This window comes from Homo sapiens, chromosome 9 (assembly GCF_000001405.40).
Source record: "Homo sapiens chromosome 9, GRCh38.p14 Primary Assembly".
Taxonomy (NCBI): Eukaryota; Metazoa; Chordata; class Mammalia; order Primates; family Hominidae; genus Homo; species Homo sapiens.
This window is the reverse complement of record NC_000009.12, coordinates 23,387,432-23,400,651: the sequence shown is the minus strand read 5'-3', so window position 1 is coordinate 23,400,651 and position 13,220 is coordinate 23,387,432.

The following is a 13,220-nucleotide window of genomic DNA, read 5'->3' as shown; positions in this document are numbered from 1 at the left end:
ACAGTTTAACACACACTGTCTATTGAAGAGACGGTGTTCTCTCTGTTGTATATTCTTGATGCCTTTGTCAAAGATAAGTTGACCATATATGTGTGAGTTTATTTCTGCACTTTTTATTCTGTTCCACTGCTGTATGTATCTGTTTTTATGCCAATACTATATTGTTTTGATTATCACATATTTGTGATATGATTTGAAATCAGGAAATTTGATGCTCCCAGCTTTATTCCTCTTGCTCAAGATTGCTTTAGCTACTCAGAGACTTTTGTGATTCCATATGAATTTTACCATGATATTTATTTTATTTTATTATTTTTATACTTTAAGTTTTAGGGTACATGTGCACAATGTGCAGGTTAGTTACATATGTATACATGTGCCATGTTGGTGTGCTGCACCCAGTAACTCGTCATTTAGCATTAGGTATATCTCCTAATGCTATCCCTCCCCCGTCCCCCCACCCAACAACAGTCCCCGGAGTGTGATATTCCCCTTCCTGTGTCCATGTGTTCTCATTGTTCAATTCCCACCTGTGAGTGAGAACATGCGGTATTTGGTTTTTTGTCCTTGTGATAGTTTGCTGAGAATGATGGCTTCCAGCTTCATCCATGTCCCTACAAAGAACATGAACTCTTCATTTTTTATGGCTGCATAGTATTCCCTGGTGTATACGTGCCACATTTTCTTAATGCAGTCTATCATTGTTGGAAATTTGGTTTGGTTCCAAGTCTTTGCTATTGTGAATAGTGCCGCAATAAACATACATTTGCGTGTGTCTTTATAACAGCATGATTTATAATCCTTTGGGTATATACCCAGTAATGGGATGGCTGGGTCAAATGGTATTTCTAGTTCAAGATCCCTGAGGAATCGCCACACTGACTTCCACAATGGTTGAACTAGTTTACAGTCCCACCAACAGTGTAAAAGTGTTCCTATTTCTCCACATCCTCTCCAGCACCTGTTGTTTCCTGACTTTTTAATGATCGCCATTCTAACTGCTGTGAGATGGTATCTCATTGTGGTTTTGATTTGCATTTCTCTGATGGCCACTGATGATGAGCATTTTTTCATGTGTCTTTTGGCTGCATAAATGTCTTCTTTTGAGAAGTGTCTGTTCATATCCTTCGCCCACTTTTTGATGGGGTTGTTTGTTTTCTTCTTGTAAATTTGTTTGAGTTCATTGTAGATTCTGGATATTAGCCCTTTGTCAGATGAGTAGGTTGCAAAAATTTTCTCCCATTTTGTAGGTTGCCTGTTCACTCTGATGGTAGTTTCTTTTGCTGTGCAGAAGTTCTTTAGTTTAATTAGATCCCATTTGTCAATTTTGGCTTTTGTTGCCATTGCTTTTGGTGTTTTAGACATGAAGTCCTTGCCCATGCCTATGTCCTGAATGGTAGTGCCTAGGTTTTCTTCTAGGGTTTTTATGGTTTTAGGTGTAACATGTAAGTCTTTAATCCATCTTGAATTAATTTTTGTATAAAGTGTAAGGGAGGGATCCAGTTTCAGCTTTCTACATATGGCTAGCCAGTTTTCCCAGCACCATTTTTAACTAGGGAATCCTTTCTCCATTGCTCGTTTTTGTCAGGTTTGTCAAAGATCAGATGGTTGTAGATATGCAGCATTATTTCTGAGGGTTCTATTCTGTTCCATTGATCTATATCTCTGTTTTGATACCAGTACTATGCTGTTTTGGTGACTGTAGCCTTGTAGTATAGTTTGAAGTCAGGTAGCACGATGCCTCCGGCTTTGTTCTTTTGGCTTAGGATTGACTTGGCGATGCGGGCTCTTTTTTGGTTCCATATGAACTTTAAAGTAGTTTTTTCCAATTCTGTGAAGAAAGTCATTGGTAGCTTGATGGGGATGGCATTGAATCTATAAATTACCTTGGGCAGTATGGCCATTTTCACGATATTGATTCTTCCCACCCATGAGCATGAAATGTTCTTCCATTTGTTTGTATCCTCTTTTATTTCATTGAGCAGTGGTTTGTAGTTCTCCTTGAAGAGGTCCTTCACATCCCTTGTAAGTTGGATTCCTAGTTATTTTATTCTCTTTGAAGCAATTGTGAATGGGAGTTCACTCATGATTTGGCTGTTTGTGTGTTATTAGTGTATAAGAATGCTTGTGATTTTTATACATTGATTTTGTATCCTGAGACTTTGCTGAATTTGCTTAGCATCTTAAGGAGATTTTGGGCTGAGACTATGGGGTTTTCCAGATATACAATCATGTCATCTGCAAACAGGGACAATTTGACTTATTTTCCTAATTGAATGCCCTTTATTTCCTTCTGCTTCCTAATTGCCCTGGCCAGAACTTCCAACACTATGTTGAATAGGTGTGGTGAGAGAGGGCATCCCTGTCTCGTGCCCGTTTTCAAAGGGAATGCTTCCAGTTTTTGCCCATTCAGTATGATATTGGCTGTGGGTTTGTCATAGATAGCTCTTATTATTTTGAGATACGTCCCATCAGTACCTAATTTATTGAGAGTTTTTAGCATGAAGGGTTTGATTTTGTCAAAGGCCTTTCCTACATCTATTGAGATAATCATGTGGTTTTTGTCTTTGGTTCTGTTTATATGCTGGATTACATTTATTGATTTGCATATGTTGAACCAGCCTTGCATCCCAGGGATGAAGCCCACTTGATCATGGTGGATAAGCTTTTTGATGTGCTGCTGGATTTGGTTTGCCAGTGTTTTACTGAGGATTTTTGCATCAATGTTCATCAAGGATATTGGTCTAAAATTCTCTTTTTTGTTGTGTGTCTACCAGGCTTTGGTATCAGGATGATGCTGGCCTCATAAAATGAGTTAGGGAGGATTCCCTCTTTTTCTATGGATTGGAATAGTTTCAGAAGGAATGGTACCAGCTCCTCCTTGTACCTCTGGTTGAATTCGGCTGTGAATCCATCTGGTCCTGGACTTTTTTTGGTTGGTAAGCTATTGATTATTGCCACAATTTCAGAACCTGTTATTGGTCTATTCAGAGCTTCAACTTCTTCCTGGTTTAGTCTTGGGAAGGTTGTATGTGTCTAGGAATTTATCCATTTCTTCTAGATTTTCTAGTTTATTTGCGTGGAGGTGTTTGTAGTATTCTCTGATGGTAGTTTGTATTTCTGTGGGATCGGTGGTGATATCCCCTTTATCATTTTTTATTGCATCTATTTGATTCTTCTCTCTTTTCTTCTTTATTAGTCTTGCTAGCAGTTTATTGATTTTGTTGATCTTTTCAAAAAACCAGCTCCTGGATTCATTAATTTTTTGAAGGGTTTTTGTGTCTCTATTTCCTTCAGTTCTGCTCTGATTTTAGTTATTTCTTGCCTTCTGCTAGCTTTTGAATGTGTTTGCTCTTGCTTTTCTAGTTCTTTTAATTGTGATGTTAGGGTGTCAATTTTGGATCTTTCCTGCTTTCTCTTGTGGGTATTTAGTGCTATAAATTTCCCTCTACACACTGCTTTGAATGTGTCCCAGAGATGCTGGTATGTTGTGTCTTTGTTCTCGTTGGTTTCAAAGAACATCTTTATTTCTGCCTTCATTTCGTTATGTACCCAGTAGTCATTCAGGAGCAGGTTGTTCAGTTTCCATGCAATTGAGTGGTTTTGAGTGAGTTTCTTATTCCTGAGTTCTAGTTTGATTGCACTGTGGTCTGAGAGAGAGTTTGTTAAAATTTCTGTTCTTTTACATTTGCTGAGGAGAGCTTTACTTCCAACTATGTGGTCAATTTTGGAGTAGGTGTGGTGTGGTGGTGAAAAAAATGTATATTCTGTTGATTTGGGGTGGAGAGTTCTGTAGATGTCTATTAGGTCCGCTTGGTGCAGAGCTGAGTTCAATTCCTGGATATCCTTGATAACTTTCTGTCTCATTGATCTGTCTAATGTTGACAGTGGGGTGTTAAAGTCTCCCATTATTATTGTGTGGGAATCTAAGTCTCTTTGTAGGTCACTAAGGATTTGCTTTATGAATCTGGGTGCTCCTGTATTGGGTGGATGTATATTTAGGATAGTTAGCTCTTCTTGTTGAATTGATCCCTTTACCATTATGTAATGGCCATCTTTGTCTCTTTTGATCTTTGTTGGTTTAAAGTCTGTTTTATCAGAGACTAGGATTGCAACCCCTGCCTTTTTTTTGTTTTCCATTTGCTTGGTAGATCTTCCTCTATCCCTTTATTTTGAGCCTATGTGTGTCTCTGCATGTGAGATGGGTTTCCTGAATACAGCCCACTGATGGTTCTTGACTCTTTATCCGATTTGCCAGTCTGTGTCTTTTAATTGGAGCCTTTAGCCCATTTACATTTAAAGTTAATATTGTTTTGTGTGTATTTGGTCCTGTCATTATGATGTTAGCTGGTTATTTTGCTCGTTAGTTGATGCAGTTTCTTCCTAGCCTTGATGGTCTTTACATTTTGGCATGTTTTTGCAGTGGCTGGTGCCAGTTGTTCCTTTCCATGTTTAGTGCTTCCTTCAGGAGATCTTTTAGGGCAGGCCTGGTGGTGACAAAATCTCTCAGCATTTGCTTGTCTGTAAAGGATTTTATTTCTCCTTCACTTATGAAGCTTAGTTTGGCTGGATATGAAATTCTGGTTTGAAAATTCTTTTCTTTAAGAATGTTGAGTATTGGCCCCCACTCTCTTCTGGCTTGCAGAGTTCCTGCTGAGAGATCAGCTGTTAGTCTGATGGGCTTCCCTTTGTGGGTAACCCGACCTTTCTCTCTGGCTGCCCTTAACATTTTTTCCTTCATTTCAACTTTGGTGAATCTGACAATTATGTGTCTTGGAGTTACTCTTCTCAAGGAGTATCTTTGTGACTTACTCTGTATTTCCTGAATCTGAATTTTGGCCTGCCTTGCTAGATTGGGGAAGTTCTCAAAGATGGGGAAAAAACAGAGCAGAAAAACTGGAAACTCTAAAAAGCAGAGTACCTCTCCTCCTCCAAAGGAACACAGCTCCTCACCAGCAACGGAACAAAGCTGGACGGAAAATGACTTTGACGAGCTGAGAGAAGAAGGCTTCAGATGATGAAATTACTCCGAGCTACAGGAGGAAATTCAAACCAATGGCAAAGAAGTTAAAAACTTTGAAAAAAAATTAGACGAATGCATAACCAGAATAAACAACACAGAGAAGTCCTTAAAGGAGCTGAATGAGCTGAAAGCCAAGGCTCGAGAACTACGTGAAGAATGCAGAAGCCTCAGGAGCCGATGTGATCAAGTGGAAGAAAGGGTATCAGTGATGGAAGACGAAATGAATGAAATGAAGTGAGAAGGGAAGTTTAGAGAAAAAAGAATAAAAAGAAACGAGCAAAGCCTCCAAGAAATATGGGACTATGTGAAAAGACCAAATCTACATCTGATTGTTGTACCTGAAAATGACAGGGAGAATGGAACCAAGTTGGAAAACACTCTGCAGGATATTATCCAGGAGAACTTCCCCAATCGAGCAAGGTATTTTTTATTTTTGTAAAATATGCCTTTGAAATTTTGATAGGGATTGCATTGAATCTATAGATCACTGTGGGTAGTATAGACATTTAGACAACATTGAGTCTTCTAATCCATGAACATGAGATGTCCTTCAATTTTTTGTGTCTTCTTCAATTTCTTTCATTAATATTTTGTAGTGTTCAACTCATGGATGGGTTAAATTTATTTCTAGGTATTTTTTTCTTTTTAATGCAACTGTAAATGGGATTTTTAAAAATTTAATTGTGAGATAGCTCATTGTTGTATGGTGATTTTTGTTTGCTGATTTTGTATCCTGCAGCTTTACTGAATATCTTTATTCTAACAGGTTTTTGGTGAAATTCTTCATATATATATATTTAAAATTATGTTATCTGCAAACAGACAATTTTATTTCATCCTGTCCAATTTGGATGCCCATTTTTTTCGTTTCTTGACTAATGTATCTGACCAGGACTTCCAATACTATGTTCAGTAAAAGTGACAAGAGTTGGCATCTTCGTCTTTTTCTTATTCTTAGAGGATAAGATTCCTTTTTTTTTTCATTGAATATGATGTTAGCTCTTGGGCTTGTAGTATATGGCCTTTACTGTGTTGAGGAACATTCCTTGTATATCTAATTTGTGAAAGTTTTAAGATCGTGAAATGTTGTTGGATTTAGTCAAATGCTTTTTCTGTGTCTTTTGAGGTGATTATATAATTTTTGTCCTTTATTCTGTTAATGTGGCATAACACATTTATTGATTTGCGTATGTTGAAACATCCTTGTAACCCAGGAACAAATATCACTTGATCGTGGCATATGATCCTTTTAACGCATTGTTGAACTTGGTTTGATGTAGTATTTTGCAACTATGTTCATCAGAAATACTGGCTTGTAATTTTCTTTTCTTATTGTTTTCCTTAACTGGCTTTTAATTTTGGATATTGGCTTGTAATTTTCTTTTCTTATATTGTCCTTATCTGGTATTAGTGGCAGGTTATGCTGGTCTCATAAAATGTGTTTGTAAGTGCTCCTTCTTCTACAATTGTTTTCGAAGTTTAGAGGTATTGACATTAATTCTTTAAATATTTGGTGGATCATTGAAGCCATCTGATCTCGAGGTTCTTTTTGTTGAGAGTGCTTATTTACTAATTTAATATTCTTACCAATTTTAGGTTTACTTAAATTTTCTATTTTTTCATGAGTCAATCTTGGTAGTTTGTATGTTTCTAGAACATTCATCTCTTCTAGGTTATCTAATTAGTTGGCATATACTTGTTCATAGTAGTCTCATGATTTTTGTATTTTTGTGATATCAGTGGTTATGTCATCTTTCATTTCTAATTTTATTTATTTGAGTCTTTAGCTGATGATTTGTCAGTGTAGGTTATGTTTTTAAAAAACTGTTGGTTTCATTGATCTTTTCTAATGTTTTTCTAGTTTCTATTTCATTTTTTCTTTTCTGATCTTTGTTATTTCCTTCTTTCTATTAAATTCAAGCTTAGTTTATTCTTCTTTTACTACTTACTTGAAGTGTAATGTTAGGTTGTTTATTTGACATCTTGTTTTTTTTTTTTTTTTTTTGAGGTGGAGTCTCGCTCTGTTGCCCAGGCTGGAGTGCAGTGGCCCAATCTGGGCTCACTGCAAGCTCTGCCTCCTGGGTTCACGCCATTCGTCTGCCTCAGCCTCCTGAGTAGCTGGGACTACAGGCACCTGTCACTATGCCGGGCTAATTTTTTGTATTTTTAGTAGAGATGGGGTTTCACCATGATAGCCAGGATGGTCTCGATCTCCTGACTTCATGATCCGCCTGCCTCGGCCTCCCAAAGTGCTGGGATTACAGGCATGAGCCACTGTGCCCAGCCTATTTGACATCTTTCTTTTTCTTCATGTAGGTGTTTATTGCTATAAACTTCCCTCTTAGAACTGCGTTTGCAGAATCCACAAGTTTGGTATGTTATGTTTTTAGTTTTGTTTGTCTCAAGGTATTATTTTTAAATTTTTCTCTTAATTTCTTCTCTTCCCCGTTGATTATACAGGAATGTGTTATGTAATTTCCATATATTTGTGAACTTTCCCAAAATATTCCTGTTATTGACTTCTGATTTCATACTATTTTGGTCAGAAAAGTTACTTGATATAATTTGAGTTTTCTTAGATTGGCTAAGGCTTATTTTGTGGTCTAACATATGACTTAGCCTGGAGAATGTTTTCTGTGTGCTTGAGAATAATGTTTATTCTGTTGCTGTTGGATGGAATGTTTTGTATATGTCTGTTAGGTCTATTTGTTCCAAAGTGTTTCTCAAGTCTAGTATTTTCTTACAGATTTTCTGTCTGGATGATCTATTCATTATTAGAAGTAGGGTATTCAAGCCTACTACTATTATTGTATCACTGTCAATTTCTCCCTTCAGATCGATTAATATGTACTTTATATATTTAGGTGCTATGATTGGTGCATATTATTTATAATTGTTATATCTCCTTAAAGAATCAATGCTTTTATCATTATTAAATGTCCTTTTTTATTGTTTTTACACTTTTTACCTTAAAGCATATTTTGTCTGATATAAGTATAGCTGCCGCTGCTCTTTTTCTGTTTGCAAGGGATGTTGTTTTCCATCTCTAAACTTTCAGTCTGTGTGTGTTCTTGAAGCAGAAGTGAGTCTCTTGTAGACAGCATGTAGTTTTTGTGTGTGTGTTTTTTTTAATCGGTTTGGCCACTCCATATCTTTTGATTGGATAATTTAATCCATATACATTGAAGGTAATTATTGATACGTAAGAATTTATTATTGTTCGTTAATTATTTTCTATTTTGTGGATTTTTTGTTCCTTTCTTACTGTCTTGCTTTTCTTCCTTTTGATTTGATGATTTTCTGTAGTGGTTTCCTTTGATTCCTTTCTCTTTATCTTTCATATATCTACTATAGGTTTTTGTTTTGTGGTTATAAAAGACTTACATAAAATGTCTTACTATCTAACTATTTTAAGTTCATAGGAATAGTAATTACATACCAAAACTTTACCCTTCCCCCTCATTGTATGCTTTTGATGTCACAATTTACATCTTTTTATATTGTGTATCCATAAATATATTATTATTGCTATATTTTTAATTTTTTTCCTCTAGCCTTTATACTGGAGCCACAAGTAATTTATACACTATCATTAGAGTATCACAGTATTCTGAATTTGACTACATACTTAATTTTACCAGTGAGTTTTATACTTTTATATGCTCTTATGTTACTAATTAACTTCCTTTCATTTCAGATTGAAAAACTCTCTTGAGTACTTATTTTTCCTTTAAGTAGAGCATTAGTATTAGAGACCATAACCTTTATGCTAGGGGTGCTCATTGCTCCTGAGTCGCCACAGATTCTAGGCCTTTCTAGTAGACAGAAACAGGCAATATGTATTTTTAAAATGAAAGAGATAAAATATTTTTACCTTAATATTTCCAATTCAATATTAAGATGTGAAATTTTATTTTTCTTGTACTTATTTTTTTCTCAAATTAAAAATTCTTGTTTTTATTGGCATTAACATAATTATTCACTTTATCCTACAACATACTTTAAAAACAGAAACATAACATAGTTTAAAAATAAAAATGCTAATATTAGTATTAAAATTAAATCTACATAATACAGTTTACGATCGCCATTTTCCTACTTATAAATGAGAGCGAACATCATACACACATGCATATGTGTGTGTATATATATTTAATGTCTTCCTAATTTTTTCTTTTGTGGTCTCTCTTCATATTACTCAACAATTTTTTGTATTACAGGCTTGATCATTTTCTTTTTAATTATTAGGAGTGCTTTATTAGGGATATGAAAACATATAAATTACAAACATTTTTATCAGTTCATTATTACTTTTTCCCTTTTATATGGTGTTTTATAATGTAACTTTTTGTGTTTTTAATTTTTACGTAGTCAAATTTATCAAGTTGTTTTATAATACTTTAGAGAGTCAAAGGAAAGTTTCATCTACCCTTGGTTTATAAAGGAATTCATCCATGTTTTTTCCTACTGCTTATGTGATTTGTTATTCTGATCCACTTGATATTCACACAGGTGTGTAGTGTGAAGAACAGATTCAATTTTATCTTTTTCCATATGGCTCCTCAGTTGGCAAAACATTAAAAAATCTATTTTAGACCTCTACTTCTAGATGGGATGGACTAGCTTGTATCTTGATAAAACAAAATAGAAACAGTAGGATACAATGATAATAGTAGTACAAAGTGGATATTTCGAAGGTATTGCTGAGCTATCATGTCCTTCAAGACTTGAGGGACTCAGTTATTGGATAGAAGGGAAATACACTGTGATGAATAAAATATTCTCTACTGTACTTACCCTTACAGAATTTGCTAAGGTAATGCGCCTAGAACTGAGAGGCTGAGAAGCCAAGCATAAAGCAGAGACTAATAGATTGAGACCTTGCATGAACAATTTAATGTGTTTTGACAAATACATACGGCTTTGTAACCAACACTCAAACAAAATATTTCATCACCCGAGAAAATTCATTTGTACTTCTTTCCAGTCGATACTCTACAGAAGAACCACTGTTATGACTTCCTTCAACAAAGATTAGTTTTCCCATTCTTGAACTTCTTATAAGTGAAATAATATAGCATTTACTAATTTATACCTTTATTATTTTGTTAAACATAATGTTTTTGATATTCACATATGTTATTAGTATCCATTTGGGTTTTAAATTAGCTAGTTTACTTTTAGAGAATGCAGTACTATCCTAAACTATTTCACAGTTCTTTGGGTCATTGAATACATTTTGTACCTGTCCTATTTATCTGTCTTCTGGGGCTAGACTTTTCTGTTTTTGCATATCTACTTGACCTTATATATATTTATATCTATCTCGTGGTATCTATAACTTTGTAGGTAGGGGCTATGGATTAACCATCTTTTTTTTTTTTTTTCTCTTTTTTCTTTTTTTGAGACGGAGTTTCACTCTTATTGCCCAGGCTGGAGTGCAATGGTGCGATCTTGACTCACTGCAACCTCCGCCTCCTGGGTTCAAGCGATTCTCTTACTTCAGGCACCGGAGTAGCTTGGATTACAGGCATGCGCGACCAAGCCTAGCTAATTTTGTATTTTTTAACAGAGACAGGGTTTTGCCATGTTGGTCAGGCTGGTCTCGAACTGCTGACCTCAGGTGATCCACTCGCCTCAGCCTCCCAAAGTGTTAGGATTATAGACGTGAGCCACCACTCCCGGCCTAACCATCTTTTATCTCCAGGTTTAACACAGTTTCTACTACATAGTTGGTGGTCAGTACATTGGACTAAGATTCTGCTTTTAATTGATTTATTGCCTGTAAGTGTACCACTATCACTCCGAAATTGTTTGCCTTTGAACCAACCCTCCTCTGTTGCGGGAAGTCAATCCATGTTCTTCTGCCATGGCTTCAGTCAGTCTCTCCGTTTGAGAAGAACATAGATTGTGAAGATTTCATGGACATTTATTAGTTCCCCAAATTAATACTTTTATAATTTCTTATGCCTGTCTTTACTGCAGTCTCTAAACATAAATTGTGAAGATTTCATGGACACTTATCACTTCCCCAATCAATACCCTTGTGATTTTCTATGCCTGTCTTTACTTTAATCTCTTAATCCTGTCAGCTGAGGAAGATGTATGTCACCTCAGGACCACGTGATAATTGCATTAACTGCACAAATTGTAGAGCATGTGTGTTTGAACAAATATGAAATCTGGGCACCTTGAAAAAAGAACAGGATAACAGCAGTTGTTCAGGGAATAAGAGAGATAACCTTAAACTCTGACTGCCGGTGAGCCGGGCGGAACAGAGCCATATTTCTCTTCTTTCAAAAGCAAATGGGAGAAATATCGCTGAATTCTTTTTCTCAGCAAGGAACATCCCTGGGAAACAGAATACGCGCCTGGGGGTATAGGTCTATAAACGCCCCACCTAGGTGTGCCCATCTTCTATGGTCGAGGCTGTAGGGGTGAAATAGACCCTAGTCTCCCATAGTGCTCCCAGGCTTATTAGGAAGAGGAAATTCCCACCTAACAAATTTTGGTCAGACTGGTTGCTCTCAAAACCCTGTCTCCTGATAAGATGTTATCAGTGACAATGGTGCCCGAAACTTCATTGGCAATTTTAATTTCGCCCCGGTCCTGTGGTCCTGTGATCTGTGATCTTGCCCTGCCTCCATTTGCCTTGTGATATTCTATTACCTTGTAAAGTACTTGATGTCTGTGACCCACACCTATTCGCACACTCCCTCCCCTTTTGAAAGTCCCTAATAAAATCTTGCTGGTTTTTGCAGCTTGTGGGGCATCACGGAACCTACCGACATGTGATGTCTCCCCTGGATACCCAGCTTTAAAATTTTTCTCTTTTGTACTCTGTGCCTTTATTTCTCAAGCCGGCTGACACTTAGGGAAAATAGAAAAGAACCTATGTGACTATTGGGGCAGGTTCCTTGATACTCCTCCTTTATCTTGAACAAACTCTCAAATTTATTGTCTTTATTTGATCTATTGGATCACTTCCCAAAATTGAAAGTGGCAACTTAAGTACTGAGTCAGTTAAATAAAAATGTAAACTTCTGAGTATGCTAATTGACACAAGTTAGTTGCTCAATAAAGTCGTGGGAAAGCAAATGGGAACTCAAGCTCAATTCTTCTTGGACTATTAATTGAAGCCACAGAGGTCCTACTATGTCCTACAGGTGAGCCTAAGTTACAAAACTATTTTTATTGTTTCAAAATTATATCAGCTTTTTCTTTTCTTGTGTTTTTCTATTTAAAAATTAATGCTATTATATTTATGACATTCCTATCTTTATCAGAAAGTAAGTACCTTACAATTAAGAGACTAGGTCTTTCTGTACTTTTATCTTTTGCTTTAGGACCAAGCTACAGTTTATACACACTGGACACTCAAATATATAGAGAAAAGAGTGATGGTGCTAATGAATGCTGAACAGAATAATAAATGGGTATAATCCCTAGGTGCTCAAAACATACAATGTCACATAAAAGCTTATTATAACTGTCAGTTTTGATGGCAGAGCAAAAGGAACAAAGAGATGAAAATCAAAGAGAACATCTGTATATAAAGTGAGATGAAGTAACAGAACAGAAACTTAGTCATAAGAAAGTGTTATAACTGTGAATTGTCAAACTCAAGGGAAGGGTTTAGAAAAATATGATAGGCTCCACTTACAAGAAATTCAGTTTTGTTCAGTAAATGGATTCTGTAATTGGAATTTTTGCTCCTTCTCCTCTGGGAGTATGTGGATGAGAGTTAATTAATGTGATAAAGTTGTGCAGTTTCTGTGAATACTGTAATTGTTAAAGATTCAAATTGCCCTTCATCTGTGTAATTTGGGTGAAGATATGGGAATGGGTAAAGAAGACCCAAATCTGCTCTCTCTGAAGTTTTAGGTTCCAGAGTTAAGATTATATAAAGAAGGGATAAAATGGAGGAAGACGAATACTTCAGATTTGTAACAGATAATTGTAAGCCTAATTGTATAGCTTCGTACATACACCTCATCTGTCAGGTCATTGGGATAACTTTCAAATAGGCATACTCAGGATGAATTCCATAGCTTCTAAGTCTCCATCAACCTCAATTTTTTTTCTCTCATTTTTTCAGGAGTTGTTTCAGTAACTACTGTTGAATTATAAACCACCCCAAACTTAGTAGTGTAAAATAACCATTTTATAATACTTACCAATTCCATGGATCAGGAAC